The sequence below is a fragment of the Homo sapiens genome, chromosome 11, assembly GCF_000001405.40.
Source record: "Homo sapiens chromosome 11, GRCh38.p14 Primary Assembly".
Lineage (NCBI taxonomy): Eukaryota > Metazoa > Chordata > Mammalia > Primates > Hominidae > Homo > Homo sapiens.
This window is the reverse complement of record NC_000011.10, coordinates 44,843,630-44,869,543: the sequence shown is the minus strand read 5'-3', so window position 1 is coordinate 44,869,543 and position 25,914 is coordinate 44,843,630. Positions and strand designations below refer to the sequence as shown.

Here is a 25,914-nt window from a genome sequence, read left to right as displayed (position 1 = left end):
GACGTGGGACATGTACATTTGCTGAGAAGACTGTCTGGGCCCAGCTTCTATGCACTGTGGAGAGATCTGACTTGTTCCTGGTTGTACAGTTAACTGGTTTTAACCTCTCCACGAGTGAGAAGTGGGTATTTACCAAACCCATTTTAGACTAAAGGAAACCAGAGCTCTAGAAGGTAAGTCACTTGTCTGAGGTCACACAGCAAGAGGCAGGGATAGGATTTCAACCCAAGGCCTTTGCACAGCATGGGAATGACTTTTTTCAAAGCAGTCTGAACGCTCTCTTGGTTGGTAGTGAGCTCCCCATCGCTACAGGTATGTAAGCAGAAGCTGAATGAGCACCTCTCAAGGAGTCAAAACCGATCACCTTAAAATCCCTCCCGGCCCAGTCTGCAAGGCCACACATCCTTGCTGATCACTTTCTTCGAGAGTTAAATCTATACACTAAGAGTAAAGCAGAAAAAAGGGCCTAAGCCCTCCTAAGGGAACGCCTAGTGGGCAGAACCTGGCTGGCACCCCCTCAGCCAGAACCACAGCTCCTCCAAGTGCTCACCACAAATCAGCAGTGATTGTGGGTTGGGGCTAATGTGATCCTTAAGTACACACAGACCAGGGCCAGCATCACCTGGCTCCAAGCAACTGCTCTTTAAACTAGCACCAGCAGTGGATGCATTGGAAGCAGGAGCTGCCAAACTCAAAGCACATAGAGTCCCCATCTGGCCCTCCAGCCAGCGGCCTATTTCAGACCTGCCTCACTTTCTGCCCTGGTGTGGGCGCTCCACCTTCCCCCTCTCCGGTTCTGCCCGCCCCAAGGACTCAGGACCCTGGTTGTGGTTTGCAAGTTTTCTCCTCCCGGCCAGTGGCTGGACTCACTGTAGGATGAGCTCATTGGAAGCTCCTTTCCAAGCAAGAGCCCTGATCCTGGGAGAGGCGAGTCCCCATTCCCTAAGCTGTGCCCGCCTGGCCCTAGGAAAGCAGCAAGGAAGGCTGGGGTCTCTGAGGAAGGGGCTGGGCTGGAGCTTCCTCTGCTTCCTCCTCTCCATGGGGCTCCCAACGCCAGTACTGAGGTGGGGAGGCCAGGTGCCCTCCACACCCATACCCACAGCCCAGCTCCCACCTCGGGCCCCGACAGGATCCTCTCCTGGTCTCCTCCCAGCTCCACACTCAGCTCTTGCATGTCCTGGTGCCTCCATTCCAGGCCTAGCACCCAGATGTGCAGATGGTATTTTGTTTTTCTCTATCCCCAAAAAGATAAAGGGGAGCATGCAAAGATGAATTATAGTGCCTGGCAGCAACTGAAGGCTTCCAAGGCACTCAGACAGAGAGTGACGGCAGATGGCCACCTGGGTTCCAGCCTCCAACTGCGTCCCCTGAGGGAAGGATCTAGTAACAGGGCAGGGCTCCTGCATGACCCGGGTATCCACGCTGCACCCGGCCTCCTTTTTCTCCATCTCCCCACAGGCCCAACCCTGCCCTCAGAAGCCAGCCTGTCACCAGCTGGAGGCCTTGCAATGACTGCAACTGAGTCTGTTCACCCTCAACCATTATCCCACCTCCCTGCCATCTTCTCAGGGCATCACCTGTCCTCCTCCTCTGCATAAACCCTTTTATGGCTCCCCAGTGCTCCTGGGGAAAAGCCCAAACTCAGCACAAGCAGCCTATCTCATATCCCTTCCCCTCCTCTACTTCCTCTGCTCACTCCACCCAGTGGCACCATTTGTAGCTCCTTGAATGCTTCTGCTCTGTCATGCCCCAGGGACTTTGCATGTGCTGATCCCTCTGCTGGAATCTACTCTCTCTCAACTCACACACAGACTCCTTTGTCCCCTTTTAAAACATACATAAACGAGCCGGGTGTGGTGGCTCGTACCTGTAATCCCAGCACTTTGGGAGGCTGAGGAGGGTGGATCACCTGAGGTCAGGAGTTTGAGACCACCCTGGTCAACATGGTGAAACCCCATCTCTACTAAAAATACACAAATTAGCTGGATGTGGTGGTGCATGCCTGTAGTCCCAGCTACTCAGGAGACTGAGGCAGGAGAATTACTTGAACTGGGGAGGTGGAGGTTGCAGTGAGCCGAGATCGGGCCACTCCACTCCAGCCTGGGTGACAGAGCGAGACTCTGTCTGAAAAAAAAAAAAAAAAAAAAAAAAAAAGATTCATAAACCAAGCCTTCTCCAGTACCTCCCCCTTCCCCAGCGTGCATCACCTGGTCTATGGGCTGATGCATTGCAGTGTATTAGACAGACCACTGCCTGCTGTTGCCCTCAGGGACCCTCAAACTTGAGCTTCCATCAGAATCTCCTGGAGGGCTTGTCAAAACCCAGGGTGCCGGGCCTCACCACTCTCAAGTTTCTGATTCAGTGGGTCTGGAGTGGAGGTCTGAAAATCTGCATATCCAGGTTCCCAGGAGATGCTGGTGATGCTGGTCTGAGGATCATGTTTGAGAACCACTATTTAAACCCTGAGCAACTTGAGGTTGGTCTTTTATTATTTTTTTACCTCCAGTCTCTGAAAGAATCTGATTTAAGGTTGGTGTTCAATCAATACTTGAATGAAAGGTATTGATGCATTTGTTGCAGCCAATGAGAGTGACAGGATTATGTCTTGAGACTTTTTTTCCCCAATTTGTTCACTCTGCAGTGGGCATTCTTCTCTCTTCTTTCCGAAGATGGTGGCCAAGTCTTTGGGTCCTATGCCTTGGGGGCGGCTGGTTTCCCAGGCCAGTCAGAAAATGGCTGGGTCTAGGAAGACAGCTTAGGCTGAAGCCCATGAAGGTGGCTGCAGTGTGAGCCTGCAGAGGAGGGCAGCAGAGGCAGCAGGCTTGAGGGGAGGGGTGGAGAGTGTTTCTGGAGATCAGCCAGATTGGTAGGATCCAAAAGTTACAAGCTCAGGTGCCCTGTTCCCGGAACAGCTCTTCCAAGAGGTGATCAGGCTTTAATGGAGTGATCCTGAGATGCCAGAGAATGGTTGGGAGACTGAACACCGAAGCTCATAGCTCGGAGTTGCAACCAAAGACCACAGCTGTGCCCTGGCTAGCACAGAAATAGCTGCTGCCCACCTGGCCTCATTAGACCCTGAGATTGGCAAAGAAGCCTGTCTGCGGGGCCCCTGTGTGGGCTCAAGTCCAGCAGCCTTTCCCAAATGTTTCGGATCACATAAGGCCACCAAGACTCCTATGTGATCCTAGGTGGCAAGAAATCCACTCCCCAACATAATTGGGATTGAATGTCTTTCAAATTCGTGGAGGGAGCTGAAGGCAGATTTAATCAGATTTAGAGAAGTAAAGGCAGACGGCACACCTCGTACCTGCTGCAAGTCCATTTAGCACCGATGATGTGCTGGGCCCCATGCCAGTCCTGCTGGAACCTAATGCCAATTGTGTTCACTTGGACCTGGGCCTGTGCCCGAGTGTGGCAGCAGAGGGCACAGCTGGGAGTGCAGACTGTCAGAAGGTGAGCAGGAACAATCGATTGTGCTGCCGGGGTCACAGAAGCTGGAGCTGGACTGAGCCCTGGGGCACTGTGACAGAAGAGGGGCCCCCAGCAGGTGGCCATCCACATTGTTTGTGAGGCTGGCACTCCAAGCCTGGACTGAATGTGGTTCGGCTCAGGCCACTCCCATCCCCAGGACTCTGAGACCCCATAGAGTGCTGGAGACCCCTGTGACTCAGAGCAAACAGTGCTGGGGAAGCCAGGCTGCCTAAGGGACCCGACTGCTCCTGCTCCTGTTCCTGCTCCACTGAGACCCCTTGGCACCAGCCTCAGGACTTTTAGCCTGGATGACAACTGGCTGCAACAGCCACCAGGCTACTGTCCCCTCCTGACTGCATAGCTGTCCCCTGTCCTTAAGGAGAGAAAAAAAAGAAGAAAAGTTCTAGTCTTGAAGAACCCCACATTCAAAGAGAATGTTGCTAGGAAAAGGGACTGATGGGGTTGGCAGGTGGAGGGAAGAGGAATTTGCTTTTTAATTTAAATCCTTCCAGATCATTTGAATTTTTAAGAAGCCTATATTGCTTGTGTAATAATAACTTTTCAAAGTAACTTTTTTGTCTTACAAATGCAAAGTAGTCTGGAAAAACCCGTGTGGGAGCAAGAAGATGCAACAAATAGCTTAAGGGTGTTCATTAAATACACCATCATCATCCTTTCTTGAGCATTTACCACGTGCCCAGAGCTCTGCAACTGTTTTAACACTCATTATTTAATTTAAAGCTCATCGCAGCCCTATGATGCCATTAGTGCTACCATTTTCTAGATGAGAGTTGAGAATTTGAGAGAGACTCAATAACACGCCCAAGGTCACCCAGCCTCAGAGCTGGCGTTTGCAAGCTCTGTCCTTAAATCAGGGTACACACCAGGCTGCCTCCCTGAAATCAAACTGAGAAACTTAATCAGCTCAAAAGCCATTTGTTTTGAGTCCATTCCACTACTTGAAAATTCCTTATATTCCACGGGAGCCAAAATCAAATTGTCACAGAAAAACAAGCCAAGAGATTGGTATGTCCAACCACCCCGGCTGAGGCTGGGACAACACCGATTCCAGTAAATCCACTGTGATCCTTCCACCCATCCATCCATTCACCAACCTCTGGCTGATGCCCCACATGGCAGGCTCTGCTGGCTGCCAGAGACCAGAGAGGGTGAGATACCCACAAGGAGACCGCCAGGCAAACACAGGGGCAGACTGGACCCCCAGCACCTTCCATGTACAGGCTTGGCGTCCTCCAGAAATAATCAAAACCCTTTGCAGTTCAGGATCCAAAGAAGCATCAAAGGGGGGTGAAAAATGAAACAGGACCTTGCCATTGGCACCCAGGGCAAGCCCATCTTCCCCGTGAAACACTTAGTTTTCCTGATGCTGAACTGGGACTTGGCAATCCACCCCATAAGGTCCATGTGCAACACTGGACCAGTCCATTTTAGTGGATGCTCTGGCATTTCACCCAGGCCTTAGGCCCAAGATGGCAAGGGAGGGTTGAACAAAGCTTCGGGTGCCATGGGAAGCTGGGGTGGGATTTTCCCCAAGGCCTCAGCCTGAAGACCTGAGCTGCCGAGAGCAGGGACCCTGAGCATCCTATCCAATAGGACCCCACGTGCCTCTCAGAGGCCCAGGCACACAGTAAGTGCTCAATGAAGTGTTGGTGAATGAATGAATAAATGTGATTCTGGGTAAGGCAGCCCCAACCCCAACACTTTTCGGAGATGGGAGGGGTGTGACACCCCACCCCATCACCAAGTTTTTTTTTTTTTTTTTTTTGAGACGGAGTCTCACTCAGTCACCCAGGCTGGAGTGCAGTGGTGCGGTCTTGGCTCACTGCAACCTCTGCCTTCCAGGTTCAAGCAATTCTCCCACCTCAGCCTCCCAAGTAGCTGGGACTACAGGCGAATGCCACCACACCCGGCTAATTTTTGTATTTTTAGTAGAGACGGGGTTTCACTATGTTGGCCAGGCTGCTCTCGAACTCCTGACCTTGAGATCCGCCCGCCTCAGCCTCCCAAAATGCTGGGATTATAGGCATGAACCACCGTGCCCGGTCCCCATCACCAAGTTTTTTGGGACATGGACCAACAGGCACCTATACACTGAAGACTCCCACAGAGTTATATTAATATGATTGAAATATAAATAATAACAACACCAAATAGCATCAGTACTACACTGAATGCTGATCCCTGGCAGGTGCTCTGTTAAGCACTTTCTGTCATTCAAGTATTTCCTTCCATCTTCACACAGTCTTACGAGAAGTGACTATTACTATCTCTAACTTACTTATAAGAATACTGAGGCTGTACTGCTAGCAGAGCTCAGATCCGAACCCAGGTCTGACATGGAATACAATGTTTCAAGCGGAAGGAGCTTGACAAACTATAGGCCAGGAGGCTAAGGACATCAGTAGTGCAGCAGGGACCCAAGTCTCCCAACTTCCAGCCCAGGGTATGCCACTAGGGCAGCTGCTTGCAATGCTCTAAGTGAAAATGAGCCCTAAGCTCTGTAAAGTATCTCAGGAATGAGAGGATTAAGAACTCTTGGTCTTTGTGCAGCACCATCTCTTTGAAAGGGCCCTCCAAAACTCCCCTTCCCAGGGAAGAAGAGGACAAAAGGAAAAGGGAGGCGCTACTAAACTCCGTACCCAAGCTGTAGTTGAAAGCAGCCTTGAAGACAAGATGGCCCCAGGCCCAGCACGGCCAAGCCTGGAGGCCTGCGGGAAAGAAGGCTAACCGAGTTCATCTGGCTTCCTGCCTGGCACAGTCTTTCAAGCCTCAGGGTCCCACTGCCAGGCCTTTGCTCTCACTGTGTCTTCCTCCCGAATGTCCTTTCTAACGTCCGAAACTGGCCTATATCTAGGCACAGCTCACAGGCCTTGCATCCCCTGATTTTACACCACCACTGTGCAGCAGTAACATCTCCTTCTGGCCTCTGAACCCCCAAGCCTTCCTTTATATTTCAGCTCTGGACCCTCCCATTCTTTACCTTGGATGTCTTGACTTTGATCGTCTCCCTTAAAAATCTGGCCTCTGAGGTGCCTGTTGAGTGCATCTGAATGAATGACGAATGCCTGGGAAGTGGAGCTTGTATGATTCGTTTTATTAACAGGTGCACACTCCAGGAGCAGGTCTGCATACAGATCTCTCTAACAGCTGCCCTTCCTCCTCCCCAGGGCCATGACAAGTGGCACCTTACACCCTAAGTCCTAAAGGCTGAGAACCAAGTCATTCTGCTATTTCTGCTGCATCAGGCACAGGTGGGGGCTTTACAAAATGCTGTGGAAAGTAACTGACCGACATATCTACCAAGCCAGCCCAGTTATGGTTTAGCACTGTCTGAGACATCAGGCGAGGGGTTGGGGGCAAGACACCCAGAGGAGGGTCCTGCCCTCAGGAGATCTCCCAGAGGAGAGGTCAGGGAACCCTGAGGACAGGGACCTTTGGGCTTTGCTCACCCTCAATCCCCAGCATTTAAACAGCTCCTGGCACATGATAGGCACTCAACAGCCATTGGCTGAATAAATGAATTAACACTCATTGACCCAGAGGTGCTGAGCTCACCATATAAGGCAGGGTGGTGCTGAGCGCTGAGCTGGCTGCATGGTGAGTCAGAGCTTTGGAGCCCACAGGCGAGACACAGAGCGAGAGAGACTGGGGGAGGGCCAGGAGGTTTGTGGTTGACCAAAACCAAGCAAGGGGCAGCTGCCTGGGAGGCAGCATCACAAGCTGTGGTTTTCGGTATTTTTTCTGCAGAGGAATATTTGCTCAAATGAAATCACACATCGCACCCTAAATGTAGGACAGAGCTGCCGCGGCGGAGGGCAGCAGGGCTGCCAGGCTGGCCTGGCCACGTGTACCCTCGTGCCCCCAGAGACGGAGCTTCCACTCAACCAGTGCCCGTCCCCCTCTGCTCCCCTGTCCCTCTAAGGGGCTTCAGATAAGCAAGGCTGCGGTTGGTCTTCTGGGAAGGGGCCCATTTAGCGCAAAAAACCCTAAAGAGGCTCAAGAAACTCCCCTCAGCCATGAAGGAGTGGAGGTGGGGGGAAAAAGGAACAGGCCTTCCCGGCGAGTGGAGGTCTACTCAAGGCAGCCAGGCGCTGGGGTGGCTGAAATAGTGGGGCGGCCATCAGAGAGTGCAGGGACTCTTTATGAGAAAGACCTTCTGGAACAATCTTTTTGGAACGTGAAGTACCACTCTCAGATCCATCAGAGGCATGGGGGCTGTGTGTGTGTGTGTGTGTGTGTGTGTGTGTGTGTGTGTGTGAAATTTGGGCTTTCAGATACTAGATTCACTAAAAATGAGGCACTTAGAGAGAGGCCAACCCTGGTACCATAAATCACAGGAAGAATCCCAACTGGGACACATGCGACCACCTGGGTGCTTCATCGCCCCCGACTCCCAACATGACACCAGTAGGGAGAATCTGCTGCTTTGTCTGCCCAGCATTCCTTTCTCCTTTTTCTAAAAATAATGCTTGGATTTTCCCTTGCAAGTCCATCCCCTCTCATGCATTCAGGCTGACTTCCCCAACCCACGACACCTACCGACCTCACCACACCACCCCCAACCACCGACCCCCCGCCCAGCACCGACCGCCCCCACCCCAGCACCGACCAGTCCCCACAGCCCCGACCACCTCCCTCAGCACCACCCGCACCCCACCAACCCCCGCACCGACTGCCCCCCGACCAACTGACCCAGTCTGGCCAATCAGCATATCTTATCCTCCAGGTTTCAGTGATTGGGCAGAGGTGTCATGTGACCCAAGACCATCCAATAAGCCTTGACTTTGGGATTTTTGTTGGACCGCCTGGGAAAAAGAAGCTCTCCTTCCATTGGATTTGAAATGAGCAAGGCGTCAGTCTGGATCTGCAGGTGCCTGCCCTGCGGCCACATGGAGAGTGGCTACCGAGGACTGAAGCTCACAAGGAGGGAGGCAGAGGACACGGATGTGGTGAGATACGGTCCTAACAGCATCATTTGAGCCCTGGATTCAGCCCTGCCTGCCTTGAAACCAATAAATAGGCCCCAAATATATTATTTGGAATATATATATTTGGAATATATATTATTAGAAACCAATATATTAGAAACCAATTTTAAAAAGCTAATAAATGGCCTGTCTTGCTTAATCCAGTTTGAGTGTTGGCTCCCAAATGATGCAGCATCTGACCTCAGTTCAGCCTTTGCCCTCTCACCACCCACTGCAGCCAACCTTTACTTCTGACCCACCACTGGTTCTTGCTTACCTGGGCAACAGTTCCACCCTTCCCCAGTTGAGCTTGAGGGGCATGGGCCAGCAACCTGGTGGGCTAGCCTGCACCTCAGCCTTCTCAGCTGTCTGGCCCCTCCGAGGGTTATCTTCTTGGCTAATCTAGTGAGACCCCAGCAACCTTGGCTCAGATCCACTCACACTATCTGCACCCCTTACTATCCTGCCCACGGACCTTTGGTGTGATGGGAGAGACAGACACTGATGCATGAAAGAGAATGACAGGTGCCCTGCTGATGGTTACCCTTAGCAACAACAACAGCAACAACAAAAGTAGCAGAAATCCCCTTGCTGAATGAGCCTAACCTCTGTTACCTGGAGAGCCAGCGTTGAGATGTCTGCAAAAGGATTATGCTCGCGTCTCCAGAAATCAAATTCAAGGGGTTCCAGTTGCTTTGATGGTAGTGTTAGAAGCTCAGCTCACCTGAAGCTTGAGGGTGGTCCAGGAGATGCTCACCTGTGAGAGGGAAGCAGAAGCAGCCGTGATTACCTGCCCGAGCTGCGGTCTCTTCTTTCTGTTTGAAAGGCTCTCCTGGCCCTGCAGGAGGCGAAGTGATGGAACCAAGACTGCAGGAGCCTGCAGGTGAGCATCAGGATTGGGCACTCAACATCTAGATCCGACTGAAATAGCCTGGAAATAATTCTAAGACACAAAGGTATGCATGTGCCTGTGTTTGCATGTGCTGAGTAAAAATACATAAGCGTCATAACCCCTGCATCTAGCACAGTGCCCCTTGCAGAAGGGAGAGGAGGTTCAGCAAATGTTTCATGATTTGCTTTTATGTAAAACATAATTTGTGTGTCTGAGTGCAAGGCAAGTCCATGAGTCCAAGCAGATTGGAGAGAAGTTTCTTCCTCGTGTGAAAATGCATTCCTGGGATGCTCCATGCCGCCAGACCAATGGCCTCTTTTTACCAATAAGGAGACTGATACCCAGAGAGGGGCACTGACTTGCTCAAAGTCACACAGCAAGTTGGTGGCAGAGCAAGGCCTAAACTCTGGGTCTCTCCTGACTCATGCTGAGGCCTCTCTCCAGGGCCATACCCTCTTCTGTAGCTGTCAGACTGGAGCAGCCCCAGGAGCATAGCAGGAGCCTGTTGCATGCTGTGGTGGCGGACGGGGGACGATGCTCACCACCTCTACCCAGTCTTGGGCCTCAGCAGACAAATGCTTCTTGGTTCTGCTCAAGCCCAGACAAAGAACAGGAGGTTGCCCACAGTAGCCAAGAGCACGGGCTTTGGAGGCAGGTGGACCTTGGCCACAAGCTGGTGCAACCTCTTTCCAGAAGAGGCAAGTCAGGTGTCCTCTCAGAGCTTCAGACTCTTCATTTGTAAAATGGGAATAATAATAGCATCTTTTCCTGAGGATTGCCGGGAATTAAAATGACTTTCGTAAGTCTGTGAAGCCCACAGAGGAGCATTTGGCGTCTAGAAATTGCTCAATAAATGTTAAGGAGGTGACGCAGAGGATAGTGCATGAGCATGTCAGGGGACCTGGAACACCAGACTTGGGGTTGCCTTGTGTTCTGGCAAGACTTTAGACAAACAGCATCTCTAAATTCTGCCAGACATTAGTCCCCTCTGCACCCACCTTCGCTCCCTTCTCTGCGTCTCAGAGACCTGCGTGGGCCCCCAGACCAGCAAGCCTGCCCCTCTTTCTAGGCTGGGAACCTCCCATTTGCCTAAGGATCTCCTTACCCCCCATCACCAAGCACAGCCCACATTTCACCAGCCAGCAAAATGCAAATGTCATTAGCGCTCTGCAAGCTGGTGAGCACGAATGTCACACCAGACGGTGTGAACTGGGGAGCGGGGGGAGGGTGCATTCCCCAGGAGGGGTGGCATTCCCAGCATTTTCCAAAAGGGCATGATAAAGAAATAAATAAACGGCTGCAGGAAAGAGGTGACAACAGAGATTGTTTCAATAGCAGCATACACAGCCATGCCATTCTTGCGGGCTCACCAGGGTCGCCCATGGTTCCTGCTTCAGCCAACCCTGTCCCAGTCCCCACTCTTGGCCTCTCCTCCCCAGCATCTCCCACTCCTCTCTGTACCCCACCATCACACACAAGCTCATCTGGGGACCCCCTTGGCCCCCATCTATCTCCCCCAACTTCCATGCTCCCTCAAACTGGCTGAGAGAACCAGATCACCCACCTAACTAACAGATCCATGGAGGGGGGAGTCTTCACTCTGAGAAGGAGGTGACATCTGTGGACCCACAGGCAGGAGTCCTGGGTTCCAGTCCCAACACCACACTAACTTGCTGTGAACATTCAGGCACACCCTCACCTGCGTGGGGCCTCAGTTTCTCCATCTGTGAAAGGGGATCACGGACCCTCTGTCAGTCTCTGCCATCTCTCAGGCCAGCTTTGAAGCCTGTGCTTGTAATAACTCAAAGGGAGAGGAGCTTCTCCTCCTCTAATTCCCCTGATAACACCCGTGAGCATGTGAAGGCTTCCCGGAGGAGGGGGCAGATATGGGTGTGTGGAGATGGTAGCAGGGTGCTGTGGACAATGGGCCCAGGGTGAGCATAGGCGTGGAGATACCCAGATGTGGGAGTGGGGGGCAGGCATTTGAGACCACAGGCTAAGACTGCCTGTGGGAGCTGAGTAGAAATGAGATAGAAAGGTCCCATGGTCAGTGCTTTACGTATGTCCACCCATTTCATTCTAACAGTGCTATCATCCCCGTTTTATTGATGAGAAACTGAAGACTGGAGAAGCTAGGTAACTTTCAGACACACGGCTGTGAAATAGACTGGATTTGAACCCCTATTTGCTTTATGAGCGGAAGCTCTCGATCACTGTGGGATGCTGCCACCTAGACTGTTTAAAATAGAGTGTGAACTAGAGACATTCAGGAGGGCGTGTGTCACCCATGTGTGCACATGACTGTTGGCAGCATGTGGGGGTGGGCATGCATCTGTGTGTATCGGGGGGAGGGATTCAGTGTGTGAATATGTGTCGTTGTAAATGCACGTGTGTGTCATCCTCAGATAAAGCTCCTTTCCCAAGTCCAGGCCCAGAAGTGCCAGTTGGGGAGGATACGGCTGAGTGGTGGATGGGGCTGGGAGTGGACAGTCACAAGGCCCTGGTCATCCCACAGCAGCTCAGGAAGCCCAGCTCTGAGGGCTGTGAGCCAGGCCTGGCCCACGTCACCTGTCTTCTGATCCCACACTCGTTGAGGCCAGATCCCTCTCGTGGAGGCCTGGCCTGGCATTTTCCCTGGTTCTGTCTCCTTCACTCTCTAGCTACCTGCTCCAACCAGGGGAATACATCCTGTAGATGAAGTCTGGTGTAAACACAAGGCTGCTGCCAGCAGGTAGGGAAGCCAGTGAGCATTGGCATCCACGGGGGAGGCGGGGAGAGCACAGCTGTGGCACAGCCCGACTTGCATTCTACCCCTGGCTCCACTGCTAGACACTGGCTCTGTGGTTGACACAGGCAACCCACCTCTCTGAGCCTTGGTGAAAGCTCACAGAGCAGCTGAGATGCCTGTCGTAGGTCAAGTTCATGCAAACTGTAAAGTGCAGTGACCACCAACAGAGTGGTAGTTCTAATCCCAGTGATCAAGATAACCCAGGAAACAGCAGAGAGTTCCCCAGGGAGACTTGACTGAGAATTCAGCAGATTCCTTTACCTAAGTCCCTCTTTCCCCACCTCTGGGCCTCAGTTTCCTCATCTACAAAATCCTCAGGCTCAAAAACAGAGTGTTGTGCAGCCCCTGGGTATCTCGTTTTCTTCACCATTATCCACGATGAACATCACAGCTGGAATTAATTTGCCAGAAACCAGAAGGCCATTTACGCAGCAGTAAACCAAGTAAATGGCACCCAGGACAGGTAAGTTTTATGGAAGAAGAGAGGAAAACAGTTTTGTTTGAGTCACTGATCAAGAAGAAATGTGACAATTCTAGGAAGACAGAGGGAAGTGTGTAGGGAGGGAGGGAGGGAGGAAGAGCTGTTGAAAGTAGGTAGAACTTGGACAAGTATTTCCCGAAATTTGCGTGGGGCTGGTCTTGAATTCAACAGAGAAGACAGGGAGTTCTGTTTCCTGGAGACCATGAGCAACATGAACATTCACTCATTTGGAAAGCATTAATTGAACACTTGCTATATACCTGGGATTCCAGGGGCACCAAGGATGAGAGAGGCACAGATTACACCTTCAAAGGTGCTGTTCATTATTATGGGCAACAGAAGACGATGCCTATGGCTCTGTAGTTCCAGGTGGCTAAGGAGGGGTTCCTCATATCATTATGAATTCAGAGGAGTGAGAGGCCCCAGGGAAGGCTTCCTGGAGGAAGGGGAAGATTGGAATGTATGAAGATGAGGAAGGCACTATAGGCAGAGAGACCAGGGCAAACAAAGGCACAGGGTACCTACATGTGGGCGGGTATTCAAGACCATGAGCCAAGACCATGAGCCAAGCCCGCCTGTTGGGGCAGAGTGGGAAGTGAGACAGAAACGGAAGGCAAGGGGTGTATGGTTAAGGTCCTTGAATGCCAGACCAAGGATGATGAAATTTATCCACAGGCAATGGGGAGCCACTGAAGATCAGAGGGCAGAAATGTGCTTCCAGGAGATTAAAAGCAGCAAGAAGGCTGGGCACGGTGGCTCATGCCTGTAATCCCAGTAGTTTAGGAGGCTGAGGCGGGTAGATCATGAGGTTAGGAGATCAAGACCATCCTGGCTAACATGGTGAAACCCCATCTCTACTAAAAATACAAAAAATTAGCCAGGCGTGGTGGTACACAACTGGTAGTCCCAGCTACTCGGGAGGCTGAGGCAGAAGAATCACTTGAACCTGGGAGACGGAGGTTGCAGTGAGCCGAGATCACACCACTGCACTCCAGCCTGGGTGACAGAATGAGACTCTGTCTCAACAACAACAAAAAATTAAAATAAATAAATAAAAGCAGCAAGAAGCCCAGGCAATGGAAACAGAAAATGAGAGGATGGAAGGAGGATGGGCAGGGCATGGTGGGGGGTGGGGTGGATGGGGATAAGGAGATGTCAGGGGAAGGTGGGTGGGTGGTGTGGGGGGATACTGAGTCTGACAGGCTGAGGGTAGGAAGACAGATGTGGGAGGGAAACTGTTGGCTGATTTAGATACTGTGAGGGTTAATTTGAGGTGTCAGCTTGACTCATACAGACTTGTGTTTGCATCCCAGCTCTGCCACTGTCACCAACTGTGTGGCCTCAGGCAAGTCATTTAACCTCTCTGGGCCTCAGTTCCCTCCCCTATAAAGTGGGAAAAAAAAATAAAGCCATTTCAGAAATGTGAGATTCAACCACCTTATATATCAGAACCACTTTGAATATAGTGATTGTCGAATGCTTGCTTTTTAAAATTTATTACTTTTATTAACTAGTGATACCTTTCCCCTATTACAAATAAAGACACTGAAGCTCAAGGTCAAATAACAGGCTAGAGTTGGCTGTGCTAGGCCTCAAATCACAGGAGAAGCAAGTTATGAGCAAATAAACCTGAGATGACTCAGAAAAGAGTCTTGATTTTAAAATATTGTTAAAGAAAAAGGGTATTTTATGACTTTTGCACAGTGTGCTTATTAAACCCACGCTATAAATGTGAACTAATAAGTAAAATGAGTTAAGTTAATGAAAAAAAAAACCTTCAGGATGAATCCATATTATCTAATGGCAGTCCATAAACATAAACATAAAATTTTAAAATACAACAATGAATTGCAATGCCCAGCAGTTCAAGGAATCTGCAATTTCTCTGTCTGAAAAATAAAAGCTATTGATTTTAGCTGGGTTCTCATTGCTCATGAGTGAGTCGTTGGGAAGTCATAAAGGAAGGAATTATTTCCAATTGTTTACTCACTAAGTATCATATGTATTGAATTTAAATTGTCTCCGATTCCTAATTAGTACAAACCAAATTAGAATCTGAGTACAGCAGCACTGGAAAGGCCCTTGGAGGCCTCCAAGCTCAGTTTTTCTTTGTTTTATAGACCAGGAAGCAGAGAGACAGAGAAGGGGAGTGACTTGCTCAAGATCACACAGCAACGGTAGGATCCAGGTGAGAAACAGGGCTCCTGCACACAGGTCAGCATCCTGCTTTGGTCCCCACAGTGTCCAGGATCAGGTTATTAAATCCAGTCCTAATGGGTGTGCTGTGCTGGTACCGGGGCCTCAGCCCAAGTGGTTCCTACAATAAGTAAGAACTTTCTCCCAGCTGCTGGGGAAAGGAATCTGCCCAAGAAAGGACACTCAAAGCCGAACACAGTCTAAGAGGGTGCAGGAGGGGACTGGTGGCAAAGTTTGCAGTGAGTTCTAAGACATGACAGCACATTGCCACGTATGGAGCACTTGAGCCCCGTGCCAACCTGGCTTGGCCTGGCAGCCCTGCCAGACAGGGGACACCTGGGCCTCATGTTCTGTTCTGAGAGGGACTGCAGGGTGGCACAGCCCCAGTCCTAGGTCAGTTCCTCCCGGTGTTCCAGGTGAGGCTGGGGAACAAAGTGCTCATTGTATGGTGGGGGAGGGAGAGGTCTCTAACTCAGCCAGGCTCTGTCAAACACACCCACATCACACGCACACAAACCCCCCCCCCCACCCCCTGCCCCAATGAGCAGAGACCAAGGAGCTCTGCATGTGGCACAGGCATGTGTGTATGTGTATAAATGTTCAGCCTCAGGCTGCACACGATTATCAAGCAGATGTTTAATTACTACCTGAGTGTAATTAATCAATACGATTAATACACAACCCATACCACATAATTACTTTGCAATTACACCAAAACGAAATATTTTATTGCCGAGGGTTTGCTAATTACCCGGCCTTGCCAAAGGACAGGTATAATGGGCAGCAATTTTTCTTCCTTCCTTTCCTTCCTTTCCTCCCTCCCCTGCCCTCTCATTAATCTTCTGGGCTGATGTCCCCACCACACAGAACCGGGAGGCCCAGAGGGCTGCGGCCTCCTCCCCGAGGTGCTGCTTCTGCACTCCGGTCAGTTTCCAAGTGAAGCCCTGGTCCTCTCCTCTCAGTGCTTCCTCTTGGAAATGCATGTCCACTCCAGAAATAAAGACAGGCTCCTGCAGGCCTGTGGATGGAGAGGTGCATGGGGCGGGGGTTACCAGCAGAAGCTCTGCAGGCAGCTGCCTGGAGTGGAATCCTGGCTCTACCAGTTATTGGCTGGGTAATCTCTGTCAAGGTAACTGTGCCTCAGTTTCCCCAAGTGTAAGACGGAGACGATGGCAGTTATCACCTGAGGGGATTCTTGTGAGTATTTAATACAGCAAAAGCCATAAAGCACAGTACCTGACACAGAGGAAGGCCTATATAGCAATTACAGTTATTATTGTCCCAGAAATGGCCCCTCCAGGAATGCTTCCAGTCATTCAGTCTCCCAGACTTATGGGCCTTCGAATTCCACTCTCTCTCCCTTCCCAAAACAACTCAGTCCCATCTACCTGGAAACATCTCCTCAATGAGGCCCCTCCCTTCTCCCCACCCACTCCATGGACTCTACGTCCCTAACCCAAGCTTTCATCCCCTCTCACCCAGTCCCCAGCTATAACCTCCACAGTCTCTCTGCTGCCCCTCCATTCCATCCTCCACCAGGCAGGAAGACAGATCTTCAGGAATGAAGCTTGGACCACGTCCCTCTCCTGCTCAAAAACCTTCTATAGCTCACCATTGCCTCTTCACCAAGGTCTAACTTCTCCACCTGCTGTTTTAGGCCCTGGAAGACTACCAATGCCCAAGTCCCTCCTTCATTTCTTAGGGCGTTAGTATAGCACGAACACTTGAGCTTTTGATGAAGCAGTGAGCAATTGATCACATGAATGGACGTTTTGGTAGATATTAGATGCGTCTGTGCCTTCCAAGTTGGAATGGCCAGGAGCATTTTTATAAGCTTGCATATTTCCCAAGAGTCTCCTGGGAGGTGAGGTTTATCTGTCACAGTTCATTTGCAGACCATCTTGGTTCCTTTCCCCTTCCCCTGACAAACATCCTCCCTGCATTTAGGAACAATTGATCCTTTTGGGCATAGTAACCCCCACGTCTGGCTGAGCAAAGAGACTATATAAGGACCCTCAGATGCAGGGCCAGTGGATGGTCCACTTGAGAGGCAAGAATCAGGGACAGGACAATAGACTCCAGCACAGGTGGCACACACTGGAGAGAGAGCCAAGGGGGGCACACACATGTGCATGTATGCATGGTATGTACATGTTTGCACAAAGAAGGCCCCTGAGGCCACTCCTGAGTGTGAATTAACTCAGAAGCCAACATATCAAGTAGCAACATGAGTCATTCATTCAGTCACTCAATAAACATAAGAGGCTGAGTTCTGGAGTCAGAGTGCTGGTGTTGGAGTCCTGTCTCTACTTCTGACCAGCTGTGTGACTTGGGGAAAATGCCTTAACTTCTCTGGGCCTCAATTCTTATTTGTAAAATGGGGATAATCAGAGTTCCTACTGATAGTGTTGTTACTACGTGTAACATTGCACATGTAACATTGCCATTGCCTCTTCACCAAGGCCTCTTTAATCAGGGCCTGGCACAAAAGAAGGGCCAATGTTAGCTATTTTGTTGTTGTTATAAACAAGAAGAATAAACCCTGGGAACACAGAAACTTGGTGCCTAGAGCTGAACATGGCATACAGTACTCGACCAATGGGTGGTGAAATCCCTGCAGAGACATTACAGTAGAAGGCAGTAAGTGATATTCATCATTCATTCATTCAGCCAGCAGACACTCATTAAGTGCCTACTGTATAACTCACTATGTCAGGCATTGGGGGAGGGCACAGAAATTCTGGCAATGTCTCTGCAGTGAGGCTGAGTTAGCGATGTGTTCCCAAATAGCTGAAAAGACAGAGGCTGGGGAGTGTTCTGAACCACTGTTGTATTCCCAGGGTCTGGAATGGCATGTCATACCTGGGCACTGAATGAATGGATAACAGCGCTGTTGAAGATGGAGAAAGTAGCACCTGGATGGGTGGCTTAGCTGCAATGGGTGTTGGAGATGAGGAAGAAAGGTGCTCTAAGCAGAGGACACAGCCAAGGCAACAGCGCAGGGCCTCCATTTGCACGGCAGGTGTAGAAAGCAGCAGGCGGGCTGTGCTTTGGCAGATGTATGAGAAGAGAGAGGAGGGAGGTAGACAGGGACCCAGCCGTTGGGGGGGGGAGGTGACAAGAGTACCTGGGCTAACAGAGACCCAGAGGAACTTCATGGCAGGGGCAACAGGGACCACTCTAGGTCCTGGGTTTTGTTTTTCCCCCTTGTCTGATGTTCAAACCTTGATCTTTGGAACTCTGAAGTCCACTCTCCAGAAGCTGATGGAGACATTTCCAGGGAGCATTGATCTATTTCTGTCTCCACGGATTTGTATAAAACCCCCTGTTCAGCCAGAGGCCAGACCACAAAGAAAGTACACAGGCCTTAGAGGGCAACCTCTGGGTGGTCAGGGGATGCCGGGCTAGCCCCGCTAGGAAGTGGGAAGTGTGACATCCAGGGAGCTGTAGGAAGGGGCAGGTGACGCCGGAAGCAGCTTCCACTCAGAGCCGGCCAGTCCCCAGAGATTCCCCGCTGGCCCACTGCTCAGGCTGTGTGTGATGAACGTGACCAAGGAGAGGAGCTTCCCTCTTCTCTCCACGCACTCACATCCCCACACACACGTGCAGCATGGCCAAGTCTGGGGTTGGATTAAAGCAGAAAGGTCAACAGGTTAATAACGCTGACCAAGAGGGAGGAAACCGTTGTTCTAGCCACAGCCCTGGGATGGTGTTGCTGTGTGTCCTGGAGCAGATCAAGTGCCCTCTCTGGGCTTCTACATTCTCCTTTCTGTAAGGAGACAGAGGTATTCCACCATCTTTAACCCTGGAGTGGAAGGCAGAGGGCTAAGTGCCCACAGATGGGTAAAGGTGAGGTGAGAAGGAATCTAGGGAGCCTGAGCCAGGGGAGTGAAATGACCTGTACCTGGGATAAGGCCAGCTGGCACCGACTGGGACAAGCGTCAGGGTCTCCTGCACCCCACTTCCTGGATAAGTGGGGCTGAATTTGAACCCTGGTCTCATCACTTACTATGTGACCTTAGATACCTTATGTGAACCTGAACCTCTGCCTTCTCATCTGTAAGATGGAGATATGTCTCATGTGCAGAGTTCAATGAGAAGATGCAAGGAGAAGGCCCATTGCTATTATCTGGGGCAGAGTAAGGCTCAGTAAGTGGAAACTATTATTATTATTACAATGATCATTCCATCCACATTGAAGGGTTTTTCTGGAAAAACCCAAGCCAGGCAGCTTATGCACCCCTCTGTGCCATCCTCCGGCCAGCAGGGACCTTGGGAAGTGCCTGGCCTTCACCCTTGTCCTCACTGGGATCATGCGAGTCCCTCCCAAACCCTGGCAGCCTCACCCTAAAGGAGAACTTTCCTGACCACACCCCAACCACACAAGGACACGGAATTGTCATCGGTTCTCTTGGCAAATGGTGGCAGGAGGGGTTCTAACCCCACCTGAAATGTGTCCTTTTTTCTAAGCAGAATGTATCTACATATCACTCGATATGTAGGAATAACAATAGGAATAAATCAGCCATGTCGGGGACAAGCACCCCTGGTGAAATTCCAGGACTTGGCGGGCCCTGGGGAGCAGGAGCGGCTTCAGCTGTGTTTCTCATTTCTGGAGGAAGGGAGCCGAGAACAATGGCCTTCTTCTCTGTTGGTCCTGGGGACAGGGGTTATTAGGGGTCACGTAGTCCATCTCTCACCCTTAAGGGAAGGCACTTGCTTGGGCCAGGCCAGTCAGGAGAGACCCCATCCTGGGACGGTCTCCCTATTTATGGGGAAAGCAACAAGTCGGATGCCCCCCACCCAACTGATGCTCATGGCCTACTGTGTGCTTGGCCAATGAGCTGTGGCATCTGATGTGTCCTCAAGCAAACCCTGTGGGCCCTATGTGGGAGGGGTCTTTAAACTGAGACCCAGGGAGGTCACTGATTCTGTGAAGTGGCAGAAGGGGCATCGCACCAAAGTCTGCCAGGTGCCATGGCCTGTGCTTTCCTCATCATCCTAGACTGAGGGCTTTCAGGGTGTGCAGGTGCTTTGGGTGCTGGGCCCTGGTCCCCTTTCCTGGACGGGACACCCATCCCAACTGCAGCAGTGCCACGGGCTGCAACCTTCTCCAGGGGAACTGCTGTTGGCTGTGAAGCCACCTTGCTCAGAGATCCCTGGGAGGCCACACCCCCATCTGCACCCCCAGGCCTAGCCCGTAGCCACTGACAGGCTGACATGGGGCTATAACAGTCCAGCCCCCTTGCCTCTGTTGGGGGCAATGTCTGAGAGGCCATTCATGCCCCAGAGACCAGGCTGAGGCTAGCCTGCTCTTAAACCTCACCCTTGCTTAGCTACTTCTTCTGCCTTCTGCTTCCCTTGCTGGTTTGCAGAGCTCTCCTGAGAATCCTCCTTCACTAGTTCACCTGGATAACCATCCTCACTCAGGTCCTGCTTTTAGGGACCCCCACCTAAAACACAGGGAGCTCACAAAGGAGACAGACACAGTCCCTCCTGGCACGGGACTCAACGCCCAACAGGAGTCAAACCTGAGACAGGAATCAACAAAGATCACTTTGACTGTCACCACTGCCCCCCTGCCCCCTGCTGCCACCCGTAGCCTCTAATGTAAGAGCTTACCACAAGCAGGTGCTGCACAATGCACTTTCCCTCCTGATCTCAAAACCAACAACCCAGCTAAGAGATGTGTTCTCCCATTTTAAAGATGAAGAAATGGAGGCTCAGAGAGAGAATTTGCCCAAGGTCACTTGCAACGCCTACATGGCTGCACTTGGACTTGAACTCAGTTCTGCCTGACTGCTGGGCCCCAGCACCTGCCTCCTGATCACCAAAGGGACCTGAGTACAGCTGAAGAGACAGGGCCAGGGGGGTGGGGGGAGCCCCACGGTTAGAGACCTCCCCTAGGCAAAGCTCACTGCTGTCTTCCTTTGTCACCTTGTGCCACTCATGGGCCATGTGGCGTCAAGAGAACCACAGACTCCAGGAGGCAGCTCCGAAGAAAGAGGGGGAATGGGGGTACCCCAATGATTGCTTCCCTGGGTGCCGCTGGCCTCTTCCCACATCATGAGTCTGGTGCTCTCTCTTTCTCTCAATTGAGTCCTGTTGACACTGGCTCCCTTCCCCCGCCCCCTCCTCACTCCCAATTCCTGTTATGTTGCAGACTTTGCAGCTCAGCCAGGCGAGTAACAGGCAGAGAATGGGAATTTTACCTGTTAATTTGGTTTCTGAGCCCCTGCTGCTTGCCAAGCCTGAACAGCTCTGAAGAGAGGGAAAGAAGTAGAGAGACAGCAAACAGCAAATGCAGCATCAGTGGTCGCTAAGGGCGCACTCCTTGGGGGAAGGCAGCTCAGTGGAGCCAGCAGAGCCAGCCTCCCTGGCTCCAAGAGCAGGAAGGGGCCTGGTTCCTAGGGTACCAGCCATCTGCTCACTTTGCCCCATCTTTGGTGCGCAAAGGACTGAACGCCTCGAAGAGCCAAATGGATCAGGGCAGGGGCAAGGTCAGCCAGGCACAGGAGACCCCTGCCCCTCATCCTCCTTTCCCACAACCTGTCAGCCTTCCCTAACACAGCCTCTTCAAAAGGTACTTTGAGGCTGGGTGCAGTGGCTCATCTCTGTAATCCCAGCACTTTGGGAAGCTGAGATGGGCAAATGACCTGAGGTCAGGAGTTAAAGACTAGCCTGGCCAACATGGTGAAACCCCTATCTCTACTAAAAATACTAAAAATTAGCCAGCCACAGTGGCATGTACCTGTAGTCCGAGCTACTTGGGAGGCTGAGGCAGGAAAATTGCTTGAACCCAGGAGGCAGAGGTTGCAGTGAGCTGAGATCACGCCATTGCACTCCAGCCTGGGCAACACAGTGAAACTCCATTGGGAAAAAAAAAAAAGCAACAAAAGTTACTTTGAGCCCTCACTATCCTGGGCACTTCATTTAATCTTCAAACCCCTTCCCATCCTCCCTTCATTATGAGACAGCTATTGTTATTATCTCCATTCTGCAGGTGTAGAAGTTCAAAGTGATACTCTGTTCTCAAAAAGTTCAACCTGGAGGTACCATACAACCCAGCAACCATTCCCAAGTCTACACTCAAGAGGACTGAAGTCAGGGAGTCAAACAAATACTGGTACACAAATGTTTATAGCAGCATTATTTATAGTATCCAAAAGGCCCATCAACAGATGAATGGATAAGCAGATGAATGTGGTATATCCATGAAATGGAATAGTATTCAGCCATGAAAAGTAATGAAGTTCTGATAAGTGCTACAATGTGGATGAACCTCCCAAACATTATGCAAAGTGAATTGCACACTTTAAGATGGCTAATTTTATGTTATGTAAATTTTGCCTCAATTTTCTTAAAGAAGAGGTGATGTAACTCACAGGAGGTCAATGAGCTCATAAGTGAGGGAGCCAGGTTCACACTTGTGGCTTTCTGAGCCCAGGGCCTGTACCCTTGGCCACTGTCCTGTGCTTGTCCACCTCCAGGCCTTTGCCTCTGCTTGCTGCCCCCACCAGGAAAGCCCTTCCTTCCCATTTCTGTTGTCAAAATCCTTCCCATCCTTCTAGAGCCTTGGCTAAAAGCCACTCCATCCCTGAAGCCTTCCTGGATTTCCTGGAAGTTCTCTTTGGCTTGGAGCCACACAGCCCTGCGTCTCTCCCTCTCCCACAGCAAGCGGCTCCTCTGCTTCCTGCTGAAGTTAGTGCTTCGCGAATCTTCCCACCAGCCTGAGGGAATACCACAGGCACAGGGCCCTTCCGAGAGTTAAACACTATGAATGCCCCTGGAGTTCTCCGCTCTGTGCATGGCATATAGTAGGCATTCAATAGATGATGGTTTTTAATAGGCTGGGTTCATTCCTGAAGAGCGGGGACCTGCCACTCCCAGGCACAAGTCCTGTGTTCAGCAGGATTCCTCAAATGGCTGCAAAGTAGAAGGTGGAGAAGAACTTCCCTGACAAAGGGGCACCTTCCTACCTGGAGAGGCTGTATTTCCCCTGGGCAGGAAACCTATCTTAGTTCACAGTTTATGTTATAATAAATGCAACTCCACTTCCTCTCAGCTAGGGTTGGCCCCAGCACAGGTGCACACAGACATAGACACATAGACACACACACAAACACACACACACAGACAGCCTCTTGGAAGAGCCCAGCCCAGAGCAGACTGTTTCTGTTAAATATTCGGGCCTCCTTAGACTTGACGTTTGTCGAGTGTTCTGATCCCTGAGGTGTCCCCATGACCAGGTTTCACAGGTCAGGGGAATCAGAAGCTCTGGCCTCAGGGGAGGCAGGCCCCTGCCAAGCGCCCTCCCCCATCACTGCACAGGCCTGCGCCCAACACTCCGCAAGAAGGTACAGCCACGTTCATTAAACAGATATTCATTAAACATCAGAGGTGTATGTTGAGGCGGTGGGAATGGAGTGTGAGCAGGAAGATCTCTTGGCTACAAGCCGGAATGCTAGAGTCACACAAAGCTGGTCTGGTTCGGATTCTGCCACTTCCTGGCTCTGTGAAATGCTGGACAAGTCATTTTACCCCTCTGAGCCTCAATGTCCTCACCTATAAGATGGGAATAATGAGACCCACCGCTCATAGGGCTGTTGCATAGAAGAAAAGAGATGCCACCTGCAAAGTACTCGGCACAGTGCCTGGCACACAGTAAAGAAAGGTTCCATCAGCATGGCCATTATTGTCATTTTTATTCTCCCCATCTTACAGATGCAATAACAGTGGCCCAGGAGGGGAAGCAGGAGTCTGGGAGAGTCATAAGGTCCCCAAGCTGATGCTTTGCTCTCCACTGGAAGTCCATTTTTCCCTGCTGCCTTGGGAAATGCCGTAGGTCTGGCATTGGCGATGGCTCACCCTACCAGGTGGAAATAGCACAGGTGGTGCCTACCCACCCACTTCCATGTCAACTGTGTGCCCTGGAGAGTGTCAAGGAGACGGCACAGAGGGCAGACAGAACACAGGTCTGGGATCTGGGATCAGGCAACAGGCTCACCCATTTCTAGGCCAGGTAGCCTTGGATAAGTCCCAGCTTCAGGCTTCTGTCCATGCAGTTCTCTTGGTCTGGAATGTCATTCCTCTCTTTGCCCACCTGATGAACTCCTATTCATCCTTCAAGACCCAGTTCACATGTTGCCTCCTATGTGAAGGCTCCCATCTATCCCATGGCAAAGTGGCCACTATTGTGCTGTGCTCCCATTGTGTTTTCTTCATCTCTACAAGCTCCGTGAGGGCAGGGAGTGCTTCTGGTGTATTCCCTGCAGGGCCCTCATCAACAAGCCTGGTATATACACACCATGTCAAAACTCAGTGAGGTACTCATGTGCCAGATACTGTGCTAAGCACTTTGCACGCAGTATCACCTTTCATCGATGCAACAGCTCTATAAGTTGTAGGTCTCATTAAATCCATCTTACAGATGAGGACACTGAGGCTCAGAGGGGCAAATCATGAATAAGCCTCTATGATTTCACCCCATATTGAATGTTGACTTGTATGTCTTACTCATTCGACTTTGAATGCCCAAATGCAGGACTAAATTCCACTGTGTCCCCCTGCTCTGGGTGAGTCTTCAGTAAAAGTCTATGGGACATTACCTCTCTAATAACTGTTGCCTGCCTACCTCACTGGCTTAAACTAATGATGGAATAAGACAGTCATCAGGGAAGCACTTCATAAACTAAAAGAATTACATACATCTAAAGTATTGGCATTGAGGATAATTCCAAACACCACATTCCAATCCTTTTGATACCCCTTTGGAGCCTCCTTTGAATCTGCAATGGTGATGATGACTCCTGCCTCAATGAGTGGTGATGAGCACCAGGCAAGGTGAGGTAGATGGACCAGGCCTGGTGCAAATGAAGTTCTCAATAAACATTCATTTTCTTTCTTCTCAAATGATTCCTGGGCACCATAAGAAAGTAAGAAAGCAAAACACAGACTGGGAAAAGTATTTGCAACACTTATCTACAAGAAAAGACTTATATCCGAAATATATAAAGAACTCCTACAAATCCATAAGAAAAAAAGAGAAAACAACCCAGTTTAAAATTGTGCCAAAGACTTAGGCACTTTCCAAAAGAAGCAATCCAAATAGCTGATAAGCATATAGAAAGGTGCTCAGCATCTTACTACCAGGGAAATGCAAATTAAAAGGCACAATGAGGTATCACTACAGACCCACCAGTTAGCTAAAACTGGGCAGATGATGCCAAGTGTGGATGAGGAGGTAGGGCAACTAGAACTGTTCCACACTGCTAGCAGGACTGTCCTATGACATGCCCACTCTATTTGACAGCATCTATTAAAGCTAAACACAAGACACAGCATTTCAACTCCCAGTTATACACCCAAGAGAAATGCCTGCCTAGACCCACTAAAAGACATGGACTAGATTATTAGTTGCATCTTTAATCATAAGCACCAAAAAAAAAAGGAAACGATCCAATGTCCATCCACAGAAAAAATGATAAGTTGTCATATATTCCTGTTGCGGGGAGTCAGGGACCCCAAACAGAGGGACCGGCTGAAGCCATGACAGAAGAATGTGGATTATGAAGATTTTATGGACATTTATTAGTTCCCCAAATTAATACTTTTGTAATTTCTTATGCCTGTCTTTACTGCAATCTCTAAACATAAATTGTAAAGATTTCATGGACACTTATCACTTCCCCAATCAATACCCTTGTGATTTCCTATGCCTGTCTTTGCTTTAATCTCTTAATCCTGTCAGCTGAGAAGGATGTATAACGTCTCAGGACCCTGTAATAATTGCGTTAACTACATAAATTCTACAGCATGTGTGTTTGAGCAATATGAAACGTGGGCACCCTGAAAAAAGAACAGGATAACAGCAATTGTTCAGGGAATAAGAGAGATAACCTTAAACTCTGACTGCTGGTGAGCTGGGCAGAACAGAGCCATATTTCTCTTCTTTCAAAAGCAAATGGGAGAAATATCGCTGAATTCTTTTTCTCAGCATGGGGAACGTCCCTGAGAAAGAGAATGCGCACCTAGGGGTAGGTCTCTGAACTGGCCCCCCCGGCGTGTACCTGTCTCTTATGGTGGAGATTGCAGAGGC

At 50.5% G+C, this 25,914-nt stretch overlaps 1 protein-coding gene across 8 annotated transcripts in view, besides 11 other annotated features; it reads right to left on the bottom strand.

Annotated features, from left to right (window-relative positions):
* Nucleotides 1-25,914, bottom strand: part of TSPAN18 (tetraspanin 18) — a 206,114-nt gene that overhangs the window by 62,880 nt on the left and 117,320 nt on the right. For 5 of the 8 annotated variants that reach the window (XM_047427846.1, XM_047427849.1, XM_005253217.4 and 2 more), the window contains exon 3: nucleotides 9,075-9,216. The gene's annotated coding sequence lies outside the window, so the exon portion shown is untranslated. Of the gene's footprint in view, nucleotides 1-9,065; nucleotides 9,217-10,915; nucleotides 11,071-25,914 lie in introns of those variants that run through there. The other 3 variants (XM_047427847.1, XM_011520459.4, XM_047427848.1) reach the window with 2 other exon arrangements.
* Nucleotides 6,641-6,690: an enhancer, noted in NCBI's record as "active region_4663". NCBI's record gives its function as "activates an Ori minimal core promoter by ATAC-STARR-seq in GM12878 lymphoblastoid cells {active_cell/tissue: GM12878}" and the evidence as "EXISTENCE:reporter gene assay evidence [ECO:0000049][PMID:35858748]".
* Nucleotides 6,791-7,418: an enhancer, noted in NCBI's record as "NANOG-H3K27ac-H3K4me1 hESC enhancer chr11:44883677-44884304 (GRCh37/hg19 assembly coordinates)". NCBI's record gives its function as "activates a minimal SCP1, AML or CMV promoter by ChIP-STARR-seq in primed H9 embryonic stem cells {active_cell/tissue: H9 hESC(primed)}" and the evidence as "EXISTENCE:reporter gene assay evidence [ECO:0000049][PMID:30033119]".
* Nucleotides 7,419-8,046: an enhancer, noted in NCBI's record as "NANOG-H3K27ac-H3K4me1 hESC enhancer chr11:44883049-44883676 (GRCh37/hg19 assembly coordinates)". NCBI's record gives its function as "activates a minimal SCP1, AML or CMV promoter by ChIP-STARR-seq in primed H9 embryonic stem cells {active_cell/tissue: H9 hESC(primed)}" and the evidence as "EXISTENCE:reporter gene assay evidence [ECO:0000049][PMID:30033119]".
* Nucleotides 11,695-12,473: an enhancer, noted in NCBI's record as "H3K27ac-H3K4me1 hESC enhancer chr11:44878622-44879400 (GRCh37/hg19 assembly coordinates)". NCBI's record gives its function as "activates a minimal SCP1, AML or CMV promoter by ChIP-STARR-seq in naive H9 embryonic stem cells {active_cell/tissue: H9 hESC(naive)}" and the evidence as "EXISTENCE:reporter gene assay evidence [ECO:0000049][PMID:30033119]".
* Nucleotides 16,501-16,670: an enhancer, noted in NCBI's record as "experimental_21450 CRE fragment used in MPRA reporter constructs". NCBI's record gives its function as "activates a minimal promoter by MPRAs in K562 erythroleukemia cells, with activity observed for the non-introgressed 11:44874510 or rs17784515 variant allele {active_cell/tissue: K562}" and the evidence as "EXISTENCE:reporter gene assay evidence [ECO:0000049][PMID:34662402]".
* Nucleotide 16,585: a transcriptional cis regulatory region, noted in NCBI's record as "Neanderthal adaptively introgressed variant 11:44874510 (GRCh37/hg19 assembly coordinates) or rs17784515 in the experimental_21450 CRE". NCBI's record gives its function as "modulates activity of the experimental_21450 enhancer by MPRAs in K562 erythroleukemia cells {active_cell/tissue: K562}" and the evidence as "EXISTENCE:reporter gene assay evidence [ECO:0000049][PMID:34662402]".
* Nucleotides 19,325-19,918: an enhancer, noted in NCBI's record as "H3K4me1 hESC enhancer chr11:44871177-44871770 (GRCh37/hg19 assembly coordinates)". NCBI's record gives its function as "activates a minimal SCP1, AML or CMV promoter by ChIP-STARR-seq in naive H9 embryonic stem cells {active_cell/tissue: H9 hESC(naive)}" and the evidence as "EXISTENCE:reporter gene assay evidence [ECO:0000049][PMID:30033119]".
* Nucleotides 19,919-20,514: an enhancer, noted in NCBI's record as "H3K4me1 hESC enhancer chr11:44870581-44871176 (GRCh37/hg19 assembly coordinates)". NCBI's record gives its function as "activates a minimal SCP1, AML or CMV promoter by ChIP-STARR-seq in naive H9 embryonic stem cells {active_cell/tissue: H9 hESC(naive)}" and the evidence as "EXISTENCE:reporter gene assay evidence [ECO:0000049][PMID:30033119]".
* Nucleotides 21,109-21,704: an enhancer, noted in NCBI's record as "H3K27ac-H3K4me1 hESC enhancer chr11:44869391-44869986 (GRCh37/hg19 assembly coordinates)". NCBI's record gives its function as "activates a minimal SCP1, AML or CMV promoter by ChIP-STARR-seq in naive H9 embryonic stem cells {active_cell/tissue: H9 hESC(naive)}" and the evidence as "EXISTENCE:reporter gene assay evidence [ECO:0000049][PMID:30033119]".
* Nucleotides 23,512-23,681: an enhancer, noted in NCBI's record as "experimental_21442 CRE fragment used in MPRA reporter constructs". NCBI's record gives its function as "activates a minimal promoter by MPRAs in K562 erythroleukemia cells, with activity observed for both the introgressed and non-introgressed 11:44867499 variant alleles {active_cell/tissue: K562}" and the evidence as "EXISTENCE:reporter gene assay evidence [ECO:0000049][PMID:34662402]".
* Nucleotides 24,025-24,194: an enhancer, noted in NCBI's record as "experimental_21441 CRE fragment used in MPRA reporter constructs". NCBI's record gives its function as "activates a minimal promoter by MPRAs in K562 erythroleukemia cells, with activity observed for the non-introgressed 11:44866986 variant allele {active_cell/tissue: K562}" and the evidence as "EXISTENCE:reporter gene assay evidence [ECO:0000049][PMID:34662402]".